This window comes from Homo sapiens, chromosome X, assembly GCF_000001405.40.
Source record: "Homo sapiens chromosome X, GRCh38.p14 Primary Assembly".
NCBI lineage: Eukaryota > Metazoa > Chordata > Mammalia > Primates > Hominidae > Homo > Homo sapiens.
The window spans coordinates 31177590-31205502 of NC_000023.11; the positions used below are offsets into that span (position 1 = coordinate 31177590).

A 27913-nucleotide genomic window follows, 5' to 3' on the forward strand; every position below is an offset into this window, starting at 1 on the left:
TTTTATATGAAGAAATATATAAACATGTCTCCCAGGAATACAGCTAAAACTCCAATAACTTCTTTGATTATAATTTGAATTCAAGCCAGGATTTCTGCTGGTTTGAATTTCACCTGGTGGAGGAACCAAAAAACCCACTCTGATTCTCCTGATCTGTGTAGATGGTACTTTCAAAGTCTCATCAAGAAAAGAAAAAAAAAAACTGAAATGAAGGAAGGGGAATTAATATGTCCATAAAACAAAACAAAACAAAAGAAAACAAACAAATAAACAGAACAAAAGAGAACCAAGCGAGCGAATGTGTTGGTGGTAGCAGCACCCTTCAGCAAAAAAAGTACTCACGCAGAATCTACTGGCCAGAAGTTGATCAGAGTAACGGGACTGCAAAACAAAAAATGAGGTGGTGAAGGAGACACACGCAAACTCAGCCGCAAAAAAATTTACTGAAAGGTCAAAATAAATAAAATCCAGCCAATTAAGTATGAACCATGGAAAGCAATAGCCAAACCAAGGTGTAAAGTGAATTAAAAGAAAAACACACAGTTGTGTGACTGCCATCAGAGTTAAGGCAAAAAAGAGGAGCAGGTTGAAAAGAGGTGAAGACGTCCCCTTTGATCTTGAGAATCATTACTACTTACTGTGAAGTAGTTTCCTGTGACTATATTTTCTTTTGAGTAGAAACAAGTGACTAGATATGACCACACAATGAGATACAAAAAGACACACATTTACTGATTTGTGAGAGAGGAAAATCAAAATGAAATACTGGAATCACTCATTTGTAAACAGTCCCATATTTCTTATAAGGCTTGTAAGGCAATTAGTGGCTGTATTGTGTTGTGGTTTTTTTTTTTTTTTCCCCCTGTGAGATAAAGTTTAACTTTTGGAAAAAGAAATTGTCAAGTGACGTGGGAAAGTGGCAACTGGACATCAGCTTATTTTTCTCTTTTCAGCTAATGTAAATAAAAAGAAAGAAATAGAAGAGACTGTTTGCATTTGGGAGTGAAGGAGGGTGTTCAGCTGAGAGGAGTTCAAATATACATCAAACAAGAGTGTGTTCTGCTTTTGCTACTACTCACGTTTCCATGTTGTCCCCCTCTAAGACAGTCTGCACTGGCAGGTAGCCCATTCGGGGATGCTTCGCAAAATACCTTTTGGTTCGAAATTTGTTTTTTAGTACCTTGGCAAAGTCTCGAACATCTTCTCCTGATGTAGTCTAAAAGGGAGATCATGGTGAGATCAGATTTAGGACAGGATGATTTCAAAACTAATGACCACTCCAGTCTTCTGCCCCATGACACTTGTTTTGTAATTAAGGAGAGTGTTGTGGTTGTGAGCAAAGGCTTTGGAATCAGACAAATGGGGCTCTGAAACCAGGCCTGGCATGTACTAATTTGGCTGAGTTATTTACTTCTCAGAGGCTCTGATCATCAGTAAAATGGGAGCAACAACACCTCAACACGTTGTTATGATAAATAAAAGAAACATACAAGCTTACTAGGCTACTCAATAAATGGTAGTTTATAGGTCTTAAGGTCAAAAAGGTGACATTAAATTTTACCACACTTTATGGTATTTTAAAAACTACTTAGTACAAAATGATAGCATGCTTCACCCACTAAATTTCGGTCTATTCATAGCATGGTACATTCTCAATCACTGACCATCTCTATAAGAGGAATAAAAGTGAGACAGGCAAATATCTGGGAGGATCACTCTGATGATGGAAGAGAGAGATGCTCTAAAGCAGAGCTTCTCATACTTTGTTGTGTATGGGAACCAGCTGCAGATCTCGCTAAAATGTGGGTTTTGATTTAGAGCATCAGGAGTTGGGGCCTGTGGTTTCACATTTCTAATAAAGACCAAGGTAATGCCAATAGACATATGATGATTAGTCAACAGACCGTATCTTGAATAGCAAGCATGCAAAGTTTAGAGAAGAGGAGACTGTAAGAATTAAAGAAAGAGAAGAGAAACACGAAGGGTGGCTCTACAGTCAACAGGGACAGGTTTATTTTAGAAAAAACAAACCTGAGAGGAGCCTGTCTTTAATTCTTAGGCAGATTTGTACTCAGGTCTGTCTGGCCACCAAGTCTACATCCTTGCCATTTCCCTAGTGATTTTTCACAGTTCTATTGGCCACTTAACATTTTCCTAAAATAACATCTTAGGAGATGGCTTCAACTCTTACTTATAGAACCTTGAGTAAATTATTTAACCTCAGGACCTCAGGGTCCTCATCTGTATAGAGGGGATAAAAATCATAGTACTTATTTTACACAGGGTAGTTTAAAAGGTAAATGCCTAGCATTTAGTAAGTGTTAGCATATAAAATGGATTTTTAAAATGTCACTAGTATACAGGACAGATAATAGGTGAGCAACATTGATTAAAAGTGGTAGTTTATGAATTTGGGGGAACCTAGAACCATCCCCCATACTCAACATGCCTCATGGCCATAAGATCGCCCCACACAACCTCTAAGGCTGTGCAAAATAAACGTGAAAACGTCTTCAATACAACCATGCACACAGAATGAAAACCCTATTTATTCATCCAACAATATTTATTGAGGGTCTATCATGTTCCATATGTGCCAGGCACTCCCCTAGGCACCAGGGATAGGGTAAATCCTGAAGCCTACAGTTGAGAGCCACTTTAGCTGGGGAACATCTGGGGAAGTGACAAATCACAGCATTATACATGATCTGCAGTATTGTACAAAACTGAAATTTATCCCAGGTGAACTAACTCTCACGTCAGGCTGGCGTCAAACTTACCGGAGTGCAATATTCCACCATGGGATAGTGCATTTTATGGCCTTTTGCAACTCGACCAGAAAAAAAGCAGCTTTGGCAGATGTCATAATTAAAGTGCTTTAGACTCCTGTACCTGATAAAGAGCAAAAACAAACACGTATGTATTTCTTCGAATCAAATTCCCAAAGAACACTCTTTAATAAACCTTCTACCACGTTCTAATTTGAGAAACAGAAAGCAATGTTCATTAGTCCCACAAGGTAAGTGATTAACTTTCTGCCTCCAGATTTTTCCGGTGCCTCTCCTACAGTACCAAAACATTTTGGCAGAAAGATTATCCTATAAACATATGGAAGGAGGGAAGAAAAACTCAGCTTTTATTTAAACTCCACTAGGAACTCTTTGAGATTAAGTAGGAAGGTACTGGAAAATTTCCAGTCTTTTGAAAACCAAATACTCAAATTTAAAAGAACTTCCAGGAGCGACAGACTTACGCTGTGCATGCCCCTTACCCATCATGGGACAAAAGTTTTCTGAAGCAATTATTTTCAAAACATTGTCAAGATAAAGCAATTTCACAAGACAAAAGAAATGTGAACAAGAACTTTCAATTAAAACAAGTCTCGCTTTAATAATGTTTTCTAATTGACTGATACGATTCATCTTCAAACAGTTACTCGAATGAACTCTTTTATCTCTATCTCTTCAGAAATCTCTCACCCCATTACCTACAAATGATAACTGAAGCCCCAAGAGAACATGAAATTTGGATTAGATGGAAGAATTTATAATCTGTAAATACTAGTTGGTACATTTCCTCCATTATCAGAATGCGATATTCTTTGTTTCATACTCTCCTGCCTTTTGCTTTCTCAGATAAGAACCTTAGCCAATTCAAATAAACATATTTCTTATGTCACATATGGGGAAGTGGGAAGGAAAGCTATCTTTTTTAGATTCCAGCCATCTTTCAAGAGGGGGACAGGAGGAATGAGAAGTGCTGGGTCCTAAAATAATATAATATGATAAGGGCAAAAGAATTGAAGGTGAAAGTGCTCTTTCAGATCCTCCAAGGCATTCTTCTTCTTTATTTTATAAAAATTTCCCTTGTATACAAAGCCCACTAGCTAAGGAAGCAGAGAAAAGGTAGCTTAGAAATCTAATGCAGTCACTGTGGCTTCCCTTCCCCACTCCCCACCCCCATGGTATCATTTTTACCTGCCAAGAAACCGGGAAGGAAAGAAGGTGACCTTTGCAAGCAGTACCTACTCACTGTTGTCTATCTAGGCTTCAGAAACCTCTAAAAGTTTTTGTAAAACCTCTTTGTAAACAGCATGACTATGGAACAATAAACACCAAAAGTAAAAAAGCACTATGAATAAAAAGCACGCAACAGTACAAGGTAGTTATTAGAAAATAAAGTAACAAAACCAGTTCACACGTAACTGGAAAAGAGTGTTTACTTTGCTGCTAAGTGGATTCTGCACAGGCATAGACCATAGAGCTAGTTTACAACTTTGTGGCTTATTCATCACTATAGAAACCTTGATGTTGATTCACACATTTAAGGACATCGCAGTTTCAGAATTAGGATTTAGGATTAATGTTAAGTGAGATTAATTCATTTAAAAAAAAATCCTGTCTCCCCAAACAGGTCAGCAGGGCTAAAGATTTATTTGGCCTTGTTTTCCATGATATTTTAAGACTATCAGAATAACCTGCTACGTTTCCTATCTCTTTCACTTCTAAATGTATAAGGACTGGTTGTTTTTTAGCTGCTTTGTGAATCTTCCATTTACTTGCCTACTTTTTATTCCTTTAGAAGTTCACTGGGATACTATACAAAGAATGTAATCAGATTCACAGATAAAGAAGCAAGTTCTAAGATGCTGAAAACAATTCTTGTTACTTAAGGGAGAAAAAAAAATGGTGCAAAGTGAATGAGAGACTGAGCTACTATTATGGTTCCTCCCAGAATAGAATCATCTCTCAGTTTTATAACTGATTCTTGGGAAGTTTCTATAAACAGGAAAGACCGTGAAAAAGGAAAGATGGTAAAAATGTTTTGGTTCCAGGAAGGAGGAGGTACAGTTCATCTGTAATACCTCCGTGAAGACACGCACTTTGGCCTGCTCAACCAAAAATGTGGCTCCGAAGAGCTGAAGAGTGAAGGTGGTAAGGGACACCAGCCTAATAAGTGAGATCCACCAAAATAACCTAGCGATCAGGAGGGTGACAGGAATGATCGATGTTCCAGCCCAATCACCTTCTCTCCCACTTTGGAGACGGTACGAACTAACAGCAACTGGCACAGGAGATAAAAGATCAAGTCATAAAAAGGTGAAAAATGATGAGAAAAAAATGACATTTTTTTTTTGGTTCCTAATACCTGAATCCAATGATTGGACACTCTTTGCAGATGTTACATTTGGCCTGATGCTTGGCAGTTTCTGCAGCAGCCACTCTGTGCAGGACGGGCAGCCACACCATGGACTGGGGTTCCAGTCTCATCCAGTCTAGGAAGAGGGCCGCTTCGATCTCTGGCTTATTATTAGCCTGCAAAGACAGGAGGGAGAGAGAAGGAGGGCAAAAGGATGAAAGGAAAGAAGGCAAGATGGCAAAGGAGGTGTATATCAGTTCGATTAATAAGTTAAACAGAAAAGATAGAAAGAACAATGGTTGCAAAGCTAGGCTGGCTTTTCACAGCTTGTTTCTGCAAATGCTCCCTGATATCCAAAGAGCTACCCACTCCTAAGGCTTTGGTAAACTGCCATTACTCTTTTTGGCTACTAGATGACAAGAAAAGAAAACAAAACCAACAAACGAGAAAGGTAAGCAAACTACACACCTGAGCGAGACTTTATTTAGCTTTAATTTTTGAACTGATACATAAAAGTTAGCCAGAAGTGAAATGCAGGTGTTTACTGATAAAATTTCAAAGGAGGGGGACAACTGATTTTTTTTTCTAGAGAATCTGTTTCTCATAGAATCATAATGAGGGGCTTTAAAATTCATCTGGTTCCAAAGCCTCATCTAACAGACAAGCAAACTGATTTTGTAGACCAGAAAAGGAGCTTTTCAAAGGCCATACAGCTAGCAGCAGAGCTGATAATAGAATCCAAACCTCCTGGCTTAGCGCTGTTTTCATGATGCCCTGTTGATTCTGTCTGCCTCTCTATTTCTCTCTCTTTCAAAGTCTAAATGTAAGAAATACAATTCATCCCAGACAGGACAATGATCTCAACAATCTCAAAATACCACCATTTGATTTATATGTTACTATATTCATGAATTTTAATTATACCTTGTTTTTTTCAACCCTATAGGATTGTTTTAATTTTTTATATTATTAGATAGATTGACCTATATATTGACTACTTTTTTGCTCTTCATTGCTTTCTTTCATCTCAAATCTTCCATCTGGGATTAGTTCTGCCTGAAATATGTCCCTTAGAATTTCCTTTAGCTGTTGGTGGTGCATTTCTCAAGCTCTGTTTGTCTGAAAATACCTCCTTTTTTTAAAAAAAAAATCCATATTCCTGATAGTTATCTTCATTAAATACAATTTTTTTTTTTTTTGAGACTGACTCTATCTCTATTGCCCAGGCTGGAGTGCAGTGGCGTGATCTCGGCTCCTGCAATCTCCGCCTCCTGGGTTCAAGTGATTCTCATGCCTCAGCCTCCCAAGTAGCTGGGACCATGGGCACACGCCACCCCACCCGGCTACTTTTTGTATTTTTAGTAGAGATGGGGTTTCACCATGTTGACTAGGCAGGTCTCGAACTCCTGACTTAAAATGATCCACCCGCCTCGGCCTCCCAAAGTGCTGGGATAACAGGCGTGAGCCACTGCGCCTGGCCCAAGTATAAAATTTTTGATTGAAAGGTTTTGGGGTCTTGTTTTTATTTTGTTTTTGAATACTGAAATATTACTCCACTTTCGTCTATCTCTGTTGCTGCTGAGAAGTCAATAGTAAAGATGACTGTTGCTCCTTTGCAAAAAACACATGAAAAAATGCTCACCATCACTGGCCATCAGAGAAATGCAAATCAAAACCACAATGAGATACCATCTCACACCAGTTAGAATGGCAATCATTAAAAAGTCAGGAAACAACAGGTGCTGGAGAGGATGTGGAGAAATAGGAACACTTTTACACTGTTGGTGGGACTGTAAACTAGTTCAACCATTGTGGAAGTCAGTGTGGCGATTCCTCAGGGATCTAGAACTAGAAATACCATTTGACCCAGCCATCCCATTACTGGGTATATACCCAAAGGACTATAAATCATGCTGCTATAAAGACACATGCACACGTATGTTTATTGCGGCACTATTCACAATAGCAAAGACTTGGAACCAACCCAAATGCCCAACAATGATAGACTGGATTAAGAAAATGTGGCACATATACACCATGGAATACTATGCAGCCATAAAAAAGGATGAGTTCATGTCCTTTGTAGGGACATGGATGAAATTGGAAATCATCATTCTCAGTAAACTATCGCAAGGACAAAAAACCAAACACCGCATGTTCTCACTCATAGGTGGGAATGGAACAATGAGAACACATGGACATAGGAAGGGGAACATCACACTCTGGGGACTGTTGTGGGGTGGGGGGAGGGGGGAGGGATAGCATTAGGAGATATACCTAATGCTAGATGACGAGTTAGTGGGTGCAGCACACCAGCATGGCACATGTATACATATGTAACTAACCTGCACATTGTGCACATGTACCCTAAAACTTAAAGTATAATAAAAATAAAATAAAAAAAATAAAGATAATCTATCTGTTTTCTATCTTGTGCTGTTTCTAGGATTTGATTTAGACTGCTTAGGATTCACTGGACTTCTTAAACCTGTGATTTAGAGTCTTTAATCAGCTGTGGAATCTTCTCCGTCATTCTCTCAACAAATAGTGCCTCTTCTCCATTCCCTCTCCATTCTACTTTCAGAACTCTGTTACATAAATGTTACTCTTCTTCAATCTATATTTCTCTGAACAGGACTTCCCTAGTTCCCCCCTCTCTGCCCCACATCTTTTTAAAACATCCTTCTGTGCTTCATTCTTATTAATTCCTTCTGCCTTACTGTCTGGGTATCCATTTCTCTTGCCGGTCTGCTGTAAACCCATACAGTTTTAAATTTTGATTATTGTACTTTTGACATCTAGAAATACTACTTGGTCATTTTTAAGGTAACTTCTCAGGTTTGTGGTTCCCTGTAGATATTTTTCAATGTTGTTTTTTATTTTTCTAACTGCATAAACACAATTAAGAAAATAATCTGTCTAATAATTCTGGAATATGATGTTATCGTAGGTCTGCTTCTATGGTTTGCTATTTCTTCTGGTTCTCATTCACCTTGATTTCTTTCTTTTTCCACCTTGATTTCTTGTGTGCTTAATATGTTTTTTGTTTTTTTTTTTTACCACGTACTAAACTGACCTTACCAATATTTTCTAGAGATAAATAAAAGCTTGAGCCTAGAATAAAAGTGCTTTCTCCAGAGATGATTCTCCTTTGCTTTTGCCAAGAACCAAGAAGCATTACTTATTCCACAGCCAATTTCAGTTGAATATATGACATGGGAATACTTAGTATCACACAAGTCATGGGTATTTGAGCTGCAAAGCCAAGTTGCTTCTCTTGTAATGTGGTTTCCTAATAAAGGACATATCCACATTTCAGATAGAAAGGCAGGAGGGTTTAGACTGACAGGTCATTTGGCTTATAACACTGATCACCTCAACAGCACTCCAGTCATTACCCCTAATTCTAAATTTAGCAACACTATAATAAACTGTTTAACTTTGGATTTCCTAGCTGCAAAATGGTATCAGTTCAAACTTCCGATCAAATGCTACTGTTTACCAAAGACCTAGAATCAATCTAAATGCCCACCAATGGAAGACTGAATAAAGAAAACGTGGTACATATACACCCTGGAATACTCCGGAGCCAGAAAAAAGAATGAGATCATGTTCTTTGCAGGAACATGGATGGAGCTGGAGGCCATTATCCTTAGCAAACTAATGCAGGAACAGAAAACCAAGTATTGCATGTTTTCACTTATAAGTGGGAGTTAAATGATGAGAACACATGGGCAGATAGAGGGGAAAAACACACACTGTGGCTTATCAGAGGATGGAGGGTGGGAGGAGGGAGAAGATCAGGAAAATAACTAATGGGTATTAGGCTTAATACTTGGGTGACAAAATAATCTGTACAACAAACCCCCATGACACAAGTTTACCTCATAAGAAACCTAGACAGGTACCCCTGAACTTACAAGTTAAATTTTAAAAAGCTGTTGCTGAGCACTTTTCTCTGTGTAGAGTTCCATCACAGAGGTACTTTGTGGAAAAAAAAGTTTATAAAGAATTATGCAATCTAAAAATGAAAAAGATCATGCAAGTCCATTCATCCTTTTGGCATGGCACCACAGAGCTGTAAGACTTTCAGGATTCACTGAGTCCAAACTCAGCATTCATCGAGTCCAAACTCTTACCCATGCCAGTGTGTGCTTACAGCCACTACACCACCCATGTGAGAGAGCTGGGAAACATCCTTAGAAGGTGATCCTGAACACCTGTGTCCAGATACCCCTGTCAAAAGTGCTGCATCACATTGAGCTGAAATCCATCAGCACAGCATATAGAAGTTCCAGAGTTAAACCACTGGAGTTCACCACTCACTGGCTGTGTGACCTTAGGAAAATAACTTTATCTCTCTGTGTCTTACTTTTTCTCTGCTACAAACTGGAAATATTAATAGTGCCTACCTCATAGAGTTATTTTATGATTACGTGAGTCAGCAAATGAAAGGCAATTGGAACCGTGTCTGACACATAGCAAGAATCATGTTTGCTATTGTTATTGTCATTATTATTATCCATCTGACCAGCAACCCAGAAGTTCTTGGTCTTTGAACAGCCCTTTAAATATTTTACCAGAGCTGTCTTATCTGTCCATGCCTCTTCATTCCTATTCTTTTTACTTCTTCTTCATATGACACGGCTTAGTTTGCCATTGTCATTTAGAAAACTATTCTTCAAATATGATTGCGGAGAATGTACCTCTATTTCTCCAGACAGTGTAACTGGATTACTTTCTTTTGTTCTGTACCGTAGGCTCACACACGGTTCCTACTCAACTAAAATCTCTGAGTCAGTGTTTCCCAGTATGTCCAGCAGATCAATCGTCCAGCAAAATGCTTCACGAGAAGGTCAAATTAATGAAAGAAACAGTGCACATTATATCTGCCTCTTAAAATTCTTAGAGCACGTTAACATATTAAAAGCTGAGAAGGTCATCAGTAAAGCAACATGTTAATCAGCTCTGGAATCTTCCCAGATTCTCAGAGAGAGAGAGAGAGAGAGAGAGAGAGAGAGAGAGAGAGAGAGAGAGAGAGAGAGAGAGAGAGAGAGAGAACAAGCAAGAGTGACTTCTGAAGGGGCGATTTAATAACAGTTTTCAATTATGTGAATGGCTCTCGCATAGGGGCCTGTGACCAGCTGTTCGATCTCTCCACTGAGGACAGAACAAGAAGAAACAGACTTAAGCAGCATGAAGAATTTAGGCTGTAGCTCATATGGAAGAATTTCCTGATGCTGAAAGTTGTTAAAGCATTAGTGTGAATTACCAAGGGAGGCTGTAGAATGTTCTACTCTTTCAAAAAACTATAGATTCTTCTATGCTTAAAGGTTGAACATTCTCAAATTTCTAGCCCCTAAGATGCAAGATCCATCATGTTGGCTCTTTTAAAACTGCTCACCTACGCCAACTGACAGACTGAAGACAAGGTACGGGGATTCACGTTCTCATTCTGTTTCAATCTTTCATTTTTATGACAAACTACTCTGTATCCTAGTGGTATATTCCCTCTCCTTTTGTCTGGCAATGAAGAAGGAAAGAATTAAAAGCCAGGCAAGCTTCTGTAAAGACCTAACAGAACTAGAATTAAACCCAGCTAAAATTACATTTCGATCATTCCAGAAAAAAATATATAGGGATAGATTGGAATAGCAGGAAGTTATTAAGGTCAAAAGATAAGTATGATGGCATTCACTGGACTGAGATAATCTTTGTAAGTACCATTATTTGTTGAGATACATATAAGTCTCAGATATAATCCCCTCTCAGTATCAAGGGTGACCTTGTCCTCATCTCTAAACACCAGTTTCAAGCCATGCAAGCAAAATCTCTTGGAAAGGTCATTTAGCCCTGGGTTTTGTTTTGTTTGTTGGCTTTGTTTTGCTTTTGCTGTTGTTTTGGCAATAACTCCATTTTCCCCTTCTATGTCATGCACACACAGAAAGCAAAGCTATCACAGCTCCTTCCATTATGATGGTCACAGTTTGGAATTATGTTGGGTTTCTCCTCTTTTTCTGTTGGTCCTCACCTGCCAGCAACTATCCATAACAGAAAAGCTAGGGGAAGGAATCAGTTGTCATTACTATTGCTCTGTTACAGCACACTGGAGGGTGGCTTCATACAAATATCACCTTTATACAAATATAACAAGGTACACAGACAAAGAATTCTCAATATCTGGAATTTCTAGCAAACCGATTTACCTATCAATATAATAAGTTTAAAAGGGCATTACATGGCAAGTTTGGAGGTAGGAGAGTTGCTGGGGTTCCGAAGAACTTTTGGATTTCTTTGATGTTGTGCTTTCTATAAATCCTTGGACACTGAAGGGCCAACCGCCTGCCAGGAGGTCCACCTGAATACTCATTTTTCTCTCAAGGTAATAAAATCAATTCATGGCTACAGAAGAAATGCAATTAAGTATTTCTCAGCAAGCCCTGCATCCCAGCTACCATGAACACGTACATTGTATTTTTTAGGAGAAGGCAATTGGCATTTCAATTGTGAGGTTTGTGAAAACCATGTGAACACTTAATAAACTACAATAATTAGTACAGTCATCCCTCAGTATATGCTAGGGGTTGCTTCCTGGCCCGCCGCAGCCCCACTCCCACGGGGATTTTGCTGTTGAGATACAGCAAAATCCACGCATACGCAAGTCCCACAGTAGGCCCAGCTGAACGCATATCCGCAGGTTTCACATCTCTTGAGTACTGCATTTTCGATACGCATTTGGTTGAAAACGATCCACTTATAAGTGGACCCACACAGTTCAAATCTATGTTTTTCAAGGGTCAACTCTATATAGAGAAGTAAACATTGGGCAAGAGACTGTGCCCAGTAATTCTCAGATAACAAGAAACCACCATCCTGGAAACAATACAGAACGATACCTCCTTAATTTCTTTCCTAAATTGCAGATTAATTAAAGACAGGAACTATACTTCTGGAGTCTCTGTTAAAATCTGCTGAATTGAACAGTGGGTGGGAATTCAACTGCAATATGATCGCAAGAAATAAAAGGAAGATTATAAAATCTGTATGAAGTCAGAATTTTAAAAAGCTGCCTAGTCATCCTGAAGAGCAAAAACATACACTTGTAAAGATTTTATAAAGAGCAGAAGACAAAATAAGTTACTTTCTCAAACTGTCCAAAATTTCCTTTATCGATTACAGTAAATGTCCTTGTGTTGGTTTCTATGTGATGGTATCACACATAAAAGGCTAACAGACTTCATCTGGACTTAGAAGGTATGTACAGAATGATCTGGCTTAAAATATAGGTATACACAAAATTCACACTTGGGGCCCTTGAAAGGAACTGCACAGGCAGATAGCTTTTCTCTAGGTCGGTGGTTCTCAACCGGAAATGATGCCGTACCCCAGAGGAAATATAACAATGTTTGGAGTGTCGACCAAAAAACATCAGAGAAAAACATCGCCAAATATGTTAAATTTATTTTGGAATTAGAAATGAGGATTACAACCCAAGATGCATCTGAAGAGGAGACTGTAGAGGGAAACTTTTATTGGTAAAAACAGAAGTTTACATAAGCTGCTTGGAAACATAGTTCGTTTCAGATGCTCAACGCCAGAACTGGTGTCAGTTTATTAGTGGGGATGCCATTACTGGGCAGATGTTCTTTTGAGAGCATATTACGTGCACTGCTGCAGTCCTAACAGAGGAATTTCTTGTGGGGCGATTTTAGAAAGTCCTTGAGACAGTCTTTATCTCAGGCATGTAACCATGAACCCTCCTCCTTTCATGCTGCCCTGGCTCTAGTTAGTTTGGGACTGACAAAAAGTGATTTCATCCTGGTATCTTTTACGGGAGACATTTTTGGTTGTCACAACTGGGCGGGGGGGGGGGGGGGGGGGGGAGGGGGAGGGCGGGGAGGGGGTGCTACTAGCATTTAGTAGATAGAGGCCAGGATTCTGCAAAACATCCAGCAGCACACAGGGCAGCTTCCCACAACAAAGAACTAGAATGATTCGGGCCAAAGCATCAGTAGCACCAAGGTTGAGAAACCCTGCCCCAATGTTAACATCTTACATAACCATATGGTTCACTTGTCAAAACTAAGAAATCCACATTGATTCATCACTATTCACTAAACAACAGACTTCCCTGAGAGTCCTGCAAGGGCATTTAATAAGCCGGCAACTATCCTCTACAACACAGAAACTGGGAGGCTACCATAGGCCTATTCAACTGCCGAAATGCCACACTCGTTCATAAACTGAGGGTAGAGAGAGCAAAAGGGAAATTAAAAGCCCCAAACTAGAAGTCACAAGGAAACACGCTAAAATTGTAGACTCAGATTTGAAATCAAGTTGCTTCTCAAACTGACAACTCTATGCAGTGTATTCCAGGATAAACAGTTGCAGAAATTTATTTATTTAATCATGGCAGATAATTATCCCAAGCAAGGTAAAGCAGGTCTGCTAGTACAATGTGTATGTGTGTGTGTGTGTGTGTGTGTTTTGATTTTACTTAGTACAGGTCATAACCATTTAGAGAAAAAATAAGAACTAAATATGCAAATATTAAATACATACATATCCATAAATAGAATTCCTAAACATTTTTATTGACAGAAAAAGGTAAATTTATGGAAAACATTGTGGGCAAACCACAGATTTTTAAAAAGGGTAATCTCTCCTTTGTGGCTGATATGGTTTGGCTGTGTCCCCACCCAAATCTCATCTTGAATTATAACTCCCACAATTCCCACATGTCGTGGGAGGAGCCTGGTGGGAGGTGATTGACTTATGGGGGTTGGTCTTTCCTGCGCCGTTCTCGTGATAGTGAATGAGTCTCACACTATCTGATGGTTTTAAAAACGGGAGTTTCTCTGCACAAGCTCTTTTTTTGCCTGCTGCCATCCAGGTAAGTTGTGACTTGCTCCTCCTTGCCTTCTGCCATGATTGTGAGGCCTCCCCAGCCACGTGGAACTGTTAAGTCCAATGACCCTCTCTCTTTTGTAAATTGCCCCATCTCAGGTATGTCTTTATCAGCAGCGTGAAAACGGACTAATACAGTGGCCATTTTCATTTGCTATTTTCATTAGTAACATGTTCCCTTCATAAATCCAAAAAATCATTTCAATGTCATTGCCATTGTTAATAGGTATTGGCATTAATAGCTGACAACTCAACTTTTCTAGCCCTCGTTATAAAAAGCCTTAGCATTTGGAAAGATTTGCTGAATTTAAATTTATAAAAACTGTTTTTTGAATTACAGTCTGTACACAAAGATTTAAAACTACAAGGAGAACGGTTAGTCAGGGTCAGACAGTATAGGACAGGCAGTCCCTGACTGTTCCCTGATCTGTTATTACAATTTCTTTAACAACCTCTAAATCTACCAAGGGCATCAGTGGAATATTTTACATAAGAGAGAAGTCTGCACCAGCAGAGAACATAAAAGGAGGAACAAGAACAAGCTGTAAAGAATATTAATGACTCTTCTTCCAAACAATCCCAATTTTTATGAAAATCAAATGAGTGATAAAAAGACTCTATAAAACTATACAAAACCTGCATGTAACAAATAAAACAGAAGGAAGGTGACATTTTGATCCTCTTAGACACAAGATACTTGGGTTTTACCTTTGAGTTACTGAGGAAACTATAGTGTACGGACGCAAGGGATCATTTACATGAGGTTGTACACAATGGTTTTTCACATCTTGCTCTTAGTGTGTGTTTCCATTCAGAGAACACTTGGTCTCATGTGAAATGCCACACTCTATGTACAAGACTGTTTTCTATATCTTATAGCTCTGATACAAGAGTTGTTACCCGGAAGATCAGGTAAGACTTTGCTGATCATGGCCAAGCTTTGAAATAAGTACAATAATCCATTTCCCTTTCGGCCTTTATAACATTTAGCATAGAATCAAAGACACTTAGGGATAAGTAACTTTTGAGATAACCTGTTTTAACTTTATGTTACAGATAAGAAAAGGCCCAAAGAGGTTAAGGAAACAGCTTAAGATTATCTACGATTTTAATACTGAAATATATGCTTAAAATAGTCTTAAAAAGACAGGACAAAAGTGATTTCCTATGGGAAAAAGCAAGGCGATCCCCAAAATCTTTTGAATCTTTAATTTGTTTGAAAGTACTAGAGTCTGATAGCTAAGTAAGCAAGGCCCACTTAGGACAATTTCCAGGTGAATATAAATCTTCAACTGAATTATATGCCGATAACATGGCTGCGAGAGCCAATGGAAGGTGCAAGTGAATACCCCACAACACTGATAAATGCATACTTATATCTCATCTGATCAACTCCTTTCCCCCTTCTTTTCAGCATTACATGTCCCTCGTACCATTAGATGCTACGGCATGTATGAGCTACCTGGACTGACAGGTGCGGGTCCATATATATTGAAGTGGCAAAAAGGAAAAAAAAGAAACAAAACTCTATGAGCTTCTCAATTCAGCACAGTTTTCATGTTACGTGTTTTAATTATGTCAATGTGTTGTTCCCATAAAAGGATTGGTTAATATGGAAATGTATTTATTAGACATCTGTTTATGTGGCTCTCTGGAGAAAGGACTTTCAATTCCATACACTGCCATTTTAAACAATTCCAAGACAAAAATAGTATCCAATGGCAGTTCAGTAAAGAGAGATATCATTCTTTGTACACTCAGAACCACCTTGGATGTCCACAGTGATATTCATGAATAGACGGGGGAGAGGTAGAAGCTCTTCTTTACATAAGAAAATGGTCTAATACATGCAGAAAGTATGGTAGAATTAGAAAGCCACCATTATGCAACCACCAATATTATAACTGAATTAGACAAGGATCATCCATAAATGCTAAAACCATAGGGTAAAAGGTTAAGGAATGGATATTATAATATGTCAAAATATCAAAAAATTACTTTCTCATTACAAAGGGAAAAGGATATTTTACAAGGAAAGTATCTTGTAGACACCACCTTAACATTCTTAGTGATACCAATAGGAACAAAATGTTATTTTGTTCCTCCAGATTGTGATACAGTGGTAGGTACAGAGCATCATCTTATCGTCTTTTGGCCAAAAAATGTTAACATTAATCTAATCACAAGGAAACCATCAGAAAAGCCCAGAGTATGGGACATTCTTCAAGAGAACTGGTCTGAACTCTTCAAAAATGTCAACGTCAGCCCGGCGTGGTGGCTGATACCTGTAATTCCAGTACTTTGGGAGGCCGAGGCAGGTGGATCACCTGAGGTCAGGAGTTCAAGACCAGCCTGGCCAACGTGGTGAAACCCTGTCTCTACTAAAAATACAAAAATCAGCCGGGTGTGGTGGTGCATGCCTGTAATCCCAGCTACTCCTGAGGCTGAGGTGGAGAGTCACATGAACTCGGGAAGCAGAGGTTGCAGTGAGCCGAGATTGCGCCACTGCACTCCAGCCTGGGTGACAGAGCGAGACTCTGTCCCCCTACCAAAAAAGTCAATGTCATGAAAGGAAAACAAAATGCTGGGAGACTGTTCAAAACTAAATGAAGGTACAGAGACATGACAGACAAAAACCTTGACTAGATGCTGGAAGAAAACAGTGGCTATAAGGAACAATTCTGGGGCACTGGGGAAAGTTCAGTGTGGACTGCATATCAGAGGGTATTGCTGGATTGCTGTTAAATTTGTGTGTAACGATAGCATTGCAGTTATGTTAGAGAATGTCATCCTTTAAGAAAATGGTGTATGGTGAAGTGTTTAGGGGTTTATGTTGTGATGCTCCTTTACTTTTAAATGGCATAGGGGAAAATGTGTTTGTGTGTGTATGTACACAGACAGACACATACATAAACAGAGCTGAGAGGGTGGAGGAGGTAAGTAGAGCGAAAAGCAACCATGGATTGAACAGATGTATGACACAGATGAGTGTTCTTTAGACTATCCTTTCAACTACTCTTTGTGCTTGAAATGTTTCCAAAATAAAACGTTGGTTGGAAACCGTTATTTCTCCCAAGTCACCCCTTCATGGGAATAGGTTGTGGGCAAGGCAGGAGGGTGGGCAAGAGTGATTTTAGTAACTGTGAAAGGGACAGGACAATGGTATTAATGTCAATAGTAATGAGTGTGAAAAGTTCCCCAGGATTCGTTTTCTCTAAAAATACAAACCTAACGCAAAATTGATTTCCTTCCTGTCCTTGTCACGGTTCTTAAAGCATCTCCTCATCGACTCTGCCTAGATGTGCTTTTCCTAGATCCCTAAATGTGAATCTCCAGGCATGAAAATGAGTTTAAGAGTCCCCACATGCGCAGAAGCAGAACTTTTTGTTTAAGGATTGAGAGGTCAAGAGTTGTCTTTGTGAGACAAGAAGAAGTAAAAGGCTTCCCATAACTACCATCTTGGGTAGAAATCAAGTATTTTATTTAAAGTTCTGAAGATAATGAGCAGGTAGGAGGCCAGCAGTCACTGCTCTAAATATTAATCAGGACTCTGAATCACCCATTAAAGATAAAATCAGCCCAAACAATAACACATGGTGATTATCCACTCTTCATTTCCATGTTCAAGGACAACTGTCCTGACCTCAGGCTCTGCACTCCACCTGACTAATAAACCAATTAACGCCATGGCCCTAGGGAACATATGCACAATTTTAAATCTATGCAAATCCCTAAGTATACTCAACAGTATTAATTTATGCTACCGAGTTCTAATTTAACAGGAAAGTTAAATTAGAAAAGTTTCACATATACATGGTAAAGCACATATATCTGTCTATAGGTACCATGGAATATACTTTCCCAAGTGTGGATCAGGGCGCATTATGTAAAAGAACAAGATATAAAGTTAGCTCTTCCACTACTGCCTCCTACAATCCTTTAAAATCCAGTTCAGGAAAAGGCAAAATTACAGGAACAGAAAACAGAGCTGTGGTTTCCAGAGATTGGGACTTAGTGAGATGATACAGCATGATGGAATTTTAGGGGTGATAGAAATGGAAGGAAGAAAGGAAGGAAGGAGGGAAGGAGAAGGGGACAGAGAGAGGGAGGGAGGGAGAGAGAGAGAACGAAAGAAAAGAGAAAAGAAAGAAAGAAAGGAAAGGAGAGGAGAGGAAAGGAAGAGAGGCGGGAGGGAGGGCAGGAAGGAAGGAAGGAAAAGACAGGGTGAGAGGAAGGAAGGAAGAAAGAAAGATTTGGTCATAACAATGAAGTGCTACTTTAGAAGGATGAAGATGGAAAACAAAATGACATGTGCTTTTCCTTAGCAGTAAGTGTATAAACAAAACAGGTTTCAACTACAACACAAACCTATCTTCAAAATTCTGGTGAAGAAAACATCCATTACTCCAATAGAGAAGTTAATCAAACAAACCACTTAAACAGATCATCATAAAGCTTAACCCACGGTAGCTTAAAATTTTTAAAAATAACAACTGGAAACCAATATTAAACTTAAGACAATACTGATAATACTCTGATAAGGGTCTTTTCTGAAAATTGCAGGAATTTTAACTAACTGTTCATGAGCAGGCCCAGTAAGAGGTCGGTGATATCTCTCAGCTTTTCATGGCAGCCAGCTATCTCTATGGAAGGCTGATTGGACTATTAGGGTCTACCTTCAATTCTGGGAAAGGCCACCTCTTTATAAATACCAAATTGTAGTAACTCTTACTAATTACTTAGTTACTAGTGAGTATTCATCCGTCCAAAAGGGGTGTAAAAGGAATGTCTATGGAACCAAAGGGCCCACAGTCTGATTAATACACAAAAAGCCAAAGGAAACCTAAGTGAAGGAGGGTTTTTAGGAGTTACTTTCAGGATGGAAAATCTATTAATAAAATGGAATCGGCCAGGTGTGATGGCTCATGCCTGTAATCCCAGCACTTTGGGAGGCTGAGGTGGGCGGATCACAAGGTCAAGAGATTGAGACCATCCTGGCCAACATGGTGAAACCTTCTCTATTAAAAATACAAAAATTAGCTGGGCGTGGTGGCACGTGCCTGTAGTCCCAGCTACTTGGGAGGCTGAGGCAGGAGAATCACTTGAACCTGGGAGGTGGAGGTTGCAGTGTGCCGAGATGGCACCACTGGACTCCAGCCTGGCAACAGAGCGAGACTCTGTCTCAAAAAAAAAAAAAAAAAAAAAAAAAAAAAAAAAAAAAAAAAAAAAAAAGTAATCAGTTGACCCGGGGAATGCTGTCTAACCAGCCAAAAGTCTCCTGATATGGCATTTTAACATTTGCAGAGAAACAGAATCTCCAGAATCTCTAAAATGCAATCCACAGATGATGTTTTGTTATAGATAAAAGCAACTGTTAACATTGGCAGGATATTTTCATGCCACAACACACTTTAGATAATCATAGCTAACATTCACTGGGCACCTTCTATGTATCCACTACAGCTCTTAAGTGCTTTGCTTCTATTGGTTCATTTAATCCTCACAATCACCTCCAGGAGTTCAGGGGCCAGGAAGGTTAAGAAATGTGTCCACAGTCACACAGCCAGCAAATAGCAGAGCTCAGATTTGGACTCAGGCACAGTTCGGTTTCAAAGCCTATGCACTTAACCACTCTGCCAGTCACTTCTCCAGATATTCTGGAATGCTTTCTCATTTATGTGTTACTGATCCTCCCACCTCAGTCTCCTGAGTAGCTGGGACTACAGGGGCATGCCACCATGCATGGCAACAATAATACATTGTATATTTCAAAATAACTAAAAGAGTAGAATTGGGAATGTTTCTAACACAGAGAAATACTTGTTCTCAACAGTTGAGACTGTAATTTATTCTCATTTTCATATCATTCTACATTATTACAACAACTGTGCATAGATGGTATTCATTTTTGTCATACAAATAGAGAAATTCAGAAGATAGATGGAAAAGCAACTTACTCATTTGGAATACTAAGTACAACAGGAGGCAGAAAACAGATGTAAAATAAACAGATTTTGACACTCCAGCTCTCATAGGTGAAGCATATTGAATATAAAGTTGGTATACTTGACGTTATCTAAACAATAAAGTCCTTAAAATGTTTACTGAAGAAGATACTACAAAATCGAAACCACAAAAAGATATCTGCACTCCCATGTTGACTGCAGCATTGTTCACAATAGCCAAGATATAGAATCAACCTAAGCGCCCATCAGTGGATGAATGCATAAAGAAAATGTACTATAAACACATAATGGAATATTATTCAGCCATAAAAAATGAAATCCCATTATTTGCAGCAACATGTACGGAACCGGAAGACGTTATGTTGAGATCAGCCACACACAGAAAGACAAGTATCCCATGTTCTCACTCATGTGTGGGAGCTAAAAAAAAAAAAAAAAAAAAAAATTGAACTCATGGAGATAGAGTAAAATCATGACTACCAGAGTCTGGGAAATGTAGTGAAGATCGGGGGATAAAAAAGGGATGGTTAATGGGTACAAAAATACAGTAAGAAGAAATATGATCTAGTGTTTGGTAGCACAATAAGGCCACTATAGTAATCAATATATTTTTAAATCTTTTTACAGATAGGGTCTCACTATGCTGTCCATGTTGGAGTGTAGTGACTATTCACAGGTGCAATTGTTGTGCATTACAGCCTTGAATTCCTGGGCGCAAGTGATCCTCCCACCTCAGCCTCCTGAAACGCTGGTCCTACAGGTGCGTGCTACCATGCATGGCAACAATAATTTATTGTATATTTCAAAATAACTAAAAGAGTGAAATGGGAATGTTCCTACCAGAGAAATGATGAATGTTTGAGATGATGGACACCCCAATTACTCTGATTGTGTTACCCTACACATTGTATGCTTGTATCAAAATATCACATGTAACCCATAAATGAGTACTATTATGTGTCCATAATAATTAAAAATATTTTAAAACATACTTTTTTACCTGTTAAATGACTGGCAGTGCAGGTTTGTGAAATAATTCTTCGTGCTATGATGTTACAATGGCTACAGTGTCACAAAGTAATGCGAATTTTTCAGTTCCATTATAATCTCTTCTTACGTTGATCTTATGGGACCACCATAGTATATATGGCCTGTCATTGACCAAAACGTCATTCTTCAGCACATGACTGTATAGTTTTCCCACCTAAAAGTGATACTTGGTTTTATCTGAAGATAGACTAAACAGCTATGTTGGGATTAGAGTATTTTCAATAAAGATGGGTGTGTGTGCATGTATGTGTTTTGGGGGAGGGGTGTTTATTTATCTATCTCATTCTATTACAATCTAAAATTCATATAGGGGATCACATTGACACATTAACACTCTGTCATTTCAATCTAGTCTCCGAACTGGTTGAAGCCATAACATGATGTAAATTGCACGATGTAGACTAGATTCATTGTGCCACTGTGGGCCTGTTTTCTCATCTGAAAAAGGAGAGGTGCAGAAAATCCTCAAGGTTCCTTCAGGCAGTCTATGTGACTCACTGCCAGGGCAGGCTTGGCCTTACTAAGGTCGTAAAAATCAATCTAATCTCTCAACAGGGCTGTTTCCATGGAATATGAGAAAGGAACAAGCTGGCAATATATTAATTACAGCTGTATCTCTTAAACTCGTTGCAAAACTTTACTTCTATCACTACCAAAATGAGTCAATTTCCCAGTAAATGTGTTGACTGCAATATGCTATTAATGTGGAAACATATCCTGTTGCCTCATTTAGTATCTACGAAGATACCACTGTCAAAGCCATAAATTTACAGTGACTATTCCTTTTTCATATCCATGGATGTGACTTCATTTCCTGGCTTAATGGATAATTCCTTGGAAGACCTATAGTGATTTTTAAATAAGCAAAATTTTACATTTAGACCTGATAGGTGATTTCCTTTTCTAAGTGGTTAGTGGGGAGGGATATGAGAAAACCTTTAATAGATAATCCAGAGAGTGTGGCACACAAACACGTACCTCTCTTCTTGCCACTACTGGGCCCTTGTCTGAATCAGAAGATTCAGTACCTTTCTAACTGTACCAACCTGAAACAAAGTAAGGTTTCCAGGTGGTGACAAGAAATCAAAGGAAATCAAATCTGCAATGCAAGGAATGCACTTGTAGGATAAACAAGTACTTTATTACCGTTTACCTCAGGCTGGTAGAAATAGCAGCCTTTGAGCACAAGCTTGCTGAAGGAACCAGCCCAGCCTCATTCTGAAGGTCCTATACTTCAAACAAAGGGCAGAGGACATTTTCACTCCTGTTATCTTTCCCTACAGCAAACATTGTATTTTTATGCACGTGGCACAATGAAAGGCAAGGTGACCGCCAGTGCACCTGGCCGAGGAAAAGCATGCCAGGGCCAGGACGTGGATTCCTAAGTATTCCTAAGTATTTACAATGGATCCATTCAACCTGATTGCAAATTGCTAAAACGCTGAGAGGCTCCCCAAATCTAAGTAATGAAAGCCTCGCCATACATATGGAATTTACTAGCATCTGATTAGAAATACTACATTTGCCAGCACTTCAAACTAATTCCTCTTCCCCCTCAAGGGTCCCCTGTCTTGTTATACCTTTTCTTATTCTATCCAGGACTCAGGAAAAGTAGCTGTTGTTTGGCCTTGGGAAGCTGGAGAGCAGAAGTATCAGAAACTACATATTTGGGAATGAGGTAGTAAATGTGGCGGTGGGCATACTGGACTAGGAATCAAACCCTTCCACCAGCTGAGGGACTTTAAGGGCGCAAATAAATTATTCATCCACTTAAACAATAATAAAAGCAAAATCTCCAAAGCCTGACTATTCTGTTCCCCTCAAAGACTTGGTGAGGATTAAATGAGAGAATTCATGTGAACAAAGTTTTGTTAGTAGCAATGGTAACAATATTATTTATAAGCATAATAGGTACAAATGGTAAGGAGAAGCTGTTTCATGATAGTGAAAGCAAACTATGGGTGGTTATGAAACCAGAGTAGGAAAGGTCTGAGAGTTAAATAGAGGAATTAGGATTTGTTCACTAGACAACAGAAAGATACTGACATTTTCAAGGACGGCATCATATGGGAAATGCTTTTCTCTAAAACTAGTATGAGGGCAATAAGACCAATGAAAAGGACTGGAGTGTGAAGTGGAGGCTTGCTAGGAAGCCAGTGCAATGATGAGAAGGCCTGGAAACAATGTAAGAATGGCAATGGAAAGCAATCAAACAAAACATGTTTCTTTCCCTAAAAAAAGAGGCAGCACTTTACTAATTTTTTTTCTAATTATAAATGTTCAAAGAAGAAAACTCAGAAAATAAAAATAGTACAGAGAAAATCAAAAGCCACCTGTTACCACCATTCATATCTTGACTGATTTCCCCCCAGTCTCATAGAAAACATTTCAAGGCTGGATGCCGTGGCTCACGCCTGTACTCCCAACATTTTGGGAGGCTGAGGTGGGTGGACAGCTTGAGCCCAAGAGCTCGAGACCAGCCTAGGCAACATGGCGAGAGACCCTGTACACACACACACACACACACACACACACACACACACACACGCACACACACACACATACACCAAAAAAATGCCAGGCGTGGCGGTCCATGCCTGTAGTCCCAGCTACTCAGGAGGCTGAGGTGGGAGGATCACTTGAGCCCAGAGGTCGAGGCTGCAATGAGCTGTGATCGTGCCACTGCACTCCAGCCTGGGTGACGAAGTTAGACCCCTTCTGAAAACAAAACAAAACACATTTCACATTTCAAAGAGCTTGGAGACTGGCTGGCCAACCAGGAGGCATTCAACAAATATGCAAGGATGGACTGAATTCAAAGCTTTGAGACTGAGAATACAGAGTTGTTATTACAGAGACAGAAATGTAACCAAACCAGAGACATGGGCTTAGGGGAGTAGGAGGTTATCCAGCAAAAGGATGTAGCAGGCAGAAATGGAATAGGTTGGTCTCCTGATAAGGGGGGCAGCCCAGGGAAAGCAGAGCTTCTGTATGGCCACCGCTTATCCTGACAACCAAATCCAAGAGGGCCAGAGGCTGCAGTGAGGATGGTGGTGGCTTCCTGATGAGTCAGTACTCGGGCGAGAAAACAAAGAATCCAGCTGGCCCTGAATACAGCCTAGTTTACTTTGCAGCAGGGACCATCACTGAGCCTTACCTTTAACCCAAGTCACAATGCACACACATATGTTTATATATCCCTATATATGAACACGTGTGTGTGTTTCACTAGAACTCAAAGAGTAACTGAGACTTGACTAAAGGGGAAAAATGATTAGGACCTGTAATCCCAGCACTTTGGGAGGCCGAGGCAGGTGGATTGCTTGAGATCAGGAGTTTGAGCTCAGCCTGGCCAACATGGTGAAACCCTGTCTCCACAAAAAATTAGCCAGGCATGGTGGCAGGCACCCTGTAATCCCAGCTACTCGGGAGGCTGAGGCATGACAATTGCTTGAACCAGGGAGGCGGAGGTTGCAGTGAGCCGAGATCGCGCCATTGCACTCCAGCCTGGGCGACAGAGGGAGACTCCATCTCAAAACAAAACAAAACAAAAAAAACACACAACCAAAAGATTAGGAAATAACTCGCGTTTATGGCAAGTTGTTTTATAATTGGATTTTAAAAAATCAAAATGAACCTAGATTGCCTGTGGCCATTAATATTCATTGTATGGAAGTTACTTGTGTCTACATTTTGATGATTGATTGGATTGATCATCTATCTGCATTTTGGAAGGTTTGGGTATGAGGAGGAAAAGATATTTATTTCTCCACATGCATTTTACATTTACAACTAATTTGCCATAATTTTGGCAAAATAATTCAAACAGTATATCCCACTTTACATAAATGAACTTATTATGTGTGCATCCGGTAAATCTATCCAACTAACTATTAAATAAATACTCAAACTGCTTTAAACACCTAAATATTCACAGTGATCTGCCCAGGAAACCTTCTATAGTTTCATCCTAGTCTGTGGTCAAAGACTTCAGATATAACCCAGTTAGTTCTACAGCTAGTTCCATTTTGTAAATCTCAGCCATTGTTAATAGAATTAGAATGGATTGAGAAACCCTACATAAGAAAAACAGCTCTTAGCACTTGAAAAAACCAAAAACAAAAACATAAGAACACTGTGAATAATGTGATACCGAAAGCATCTTACTCCTTCAATACTGATAGCGTTACAATTAGAACAACTTTTGAAGAAAGGCCACAAAAAATGTTTATATTATTTTGTCTGGCAATCACACGCCTGAGAATTGATCCTATAAAGAAAGCTTCAAAGACAAAAGCTAAACGATAAGGATGTTCATTGTAGCACTATCTACCTAATAAAAATTAGAGGCCAGGCACGGTGGCTTACGCCTGTAATCCGAGCACTTTGGGAGTTCGAGGCAGGTGGATCACCTGAGGTCAGGAGTTTGAGACCAGCCTGGCCAACCTGGTGAAACCCTGTCTCTACTAAAAATACAAAAATTAGCTTGGGGTGGCGGTGGGCGCCTGTAATCCCAGCTACTCGGGAGGCTGAGGTAGCAGAATCACTTGAACCCGGGAGGTGGAGGTTGCAGTGAGCAGAGATCTCACCACTGCACTCCAGCCTGGGTGACAGAGCGAGACTGCAACTCAAAAAAGAAAAAAAAAAAAAAAAGGAAAGAGAAAAAAAAATTAGAACAAGATGAATGTCTACCAGTGGAGTGCTCAGGCATTTGGGAAGAAGAGGGTGTTTCTGGGGCACTGACTACGACAGAGAAAAAGCAATGGGACAGGATAGGAAAGAGAACGGACAAGAGTGTGTTCAGTCAGTGATGGACATTAGCAGAGAGTATACACCTCTAGACTTTGGAATAATAGGGGAATGTCAAAGCTACAAAGGACAGTTTTAAAAAAAAGGACAGCTGTGCTAACAATTTACCAACAGCCATTGAAAGGAGGCTATAATGATAGAATTAGAGAAAGGACTCAGAGACTAAGAGACTCGCCTACAAAGGCCATTTTCTTATATACATAGGATTTCTGTGGCTAGAGACTTATTTCCTCCCTTGCTGAACTTCTTCCCCTCTAGCACCTCAATAACTGTGGGGTCCCTGCTGCAGATGGAGATTTCTTTTCCTTCCTCAGCACTGTCTTCTTTCCCAAAACCTAGAGTTCCAGAAGCTGCTTACTTACAGAGGTTCCAAATATCCCAAATCCCATACCTACTGCCTACTGAAGAGCTAATATGAGAAAACGAAGCTCTGTGGGTTTTTTAATTAATTTCTAAAATATGAAAGAATAAATATGTTACCTAGAAGGTGAATAACTTACAAATTGGAAGCAGCTCCGGACACTTGGCTCAATGTTACTGCCCCCAAAGGATGCAACTTCACCCAACTGTCTTGGAATTTGGATAGAATCATGCAGAAGGAGGCCCAGCCTGCGCTGGTCACAAAATCCTGTTGAACTTGCCACTTGCTTGAAAAGGTCTACAAAGGAAGAAGAAAATTGCAACAGTCAAAACACAGCACCCATGGATGCCAGCAGAACCTGACATCCAACTCAATTCCAGTAGCAATTCTCAAGAGTAGCCAGTATTTCCACAGAGTGGGGTTACTTCTAATTTGTGCTAATCTGGATATTTATTATTTTTATGAATCAAGTTAATGATCACTGTATATATATGAAGTGTGATAACTTTTACATAAACTGTGTCACTGCAAGAAGCGCAAGCTTACACGTACCCTCGACACTTAAATTTCTTCTAAGCCAGAACATAATCCTTGGGAATTATTGTATATAGGATGTAACTACATCAAAAAATAAGTGTTTTAGCATTAAGAGACATATAACTGGCCCAAAGCACCACCCTCCTTGGACACCAGAGATTCAAAAATGTACCACAGTTGGGACTTCTTTATGGAGTCATAAGATCACTGAGCTTCTAGTCCATCATGTATGTGTTCCCACAGGATACTGTGCATAGTTTGTTGTTGTTGTTGTTGTTTTTTGAGACGGAGTCTTGCTCTGTCGCCCAGGCTGCAGTGCAGTGGTGCGATCTCTGCTCACCGCAACCTCTGCCTCCCGGGTTCAAGCCATTCTCCTGCCTCAGCCGCCTGAGTAGCTGCGATTACAGGCACATGCCATCACACCCAGCTAATTTTTGTATTTTTACTGGAGACGTGTTTCACCATGATGGCCAGGCTGGTCTTGAACTCCTGACCTCAAGTGATCCTCCTACCTCGGCCTCCCTAAGTGCTGGGATTACAGGTGTGAGCTACTGCGCCTGGCTGCGTATTTCTAATTAATAGCTCACATCATGTTATGCTGGCATTGATTCAATATGTGTCTATCGTTTTTGGCAGGAGACTTATATCCCCTTGAGGGAAGGAACCATATCTTGGTCAGTTGTGTGCCAGAAGTATCTACAGTAGAATGGCAGTACCCGGTGGATAGTAGGTGCCCAATATATGTAACAGAATGAATGAACATACTGAATGCTTGCAATGTTATGTTTTGTTCTCAGATATAAAATTTTAATCATACCTTATATTCACCTAGAAGTTGCCCCTCAAAAAAAGTAAATCCAAGAAAGCTTTCTGTACCCATAAGCACACTTTAAACTCTAGGAAATTAAATGTTTTAACAGGATACCTAAGATGGCACTAAAAATTGAGATTGTACGCACAGCTTTTTATCTGCTCTCCGATATACATACCTAGGTGTTTATTTTCAAAGTTATGAGTTACTTTCAAACATCTCATTTTGCATTTAATATTTTTGTTTCACCAACCTAAAAACATGTTCCCTCTTAGTAGTTATTCGAAACACCAACTCAAAGCTTCCTCAATTATTCAATTTAATATTATATTT

At 39.5% G+C, this 27913-nt stretch overlaps 1 protein-coding gene across 26 annotated transcripts in view; it reads right to left on the reverse strand.

The window, feature by feature from the left end:
- The window catches only part of DMD (dystrophin), a 2220167-nt gene that overhangs the window by 58368 nt on the left and 2133886 nt on the right, over positions 1–27913 (reverse strand). For 15 of the 26 annotated variants that reach the window (XM_006724469.4, NM_000109.4, XM_011545467.2 and 12 more), the window contains 5 exon segments: positions 26372–26529; positions 5149–5315; positions 2781–2892; positions 1080–1216; positions 343–381 (listed from right to left, as the gene is read on the reverse strand). In XM_006724469.4, the coding sequence (XP_006724532.1) occupies positions 343–381; positions 1080–1216; positions 2781–2892; positions 5149–5315; positions 26372–26529 (613 nt within the window). 26 annotated transcript variants of the gene reach the window in all.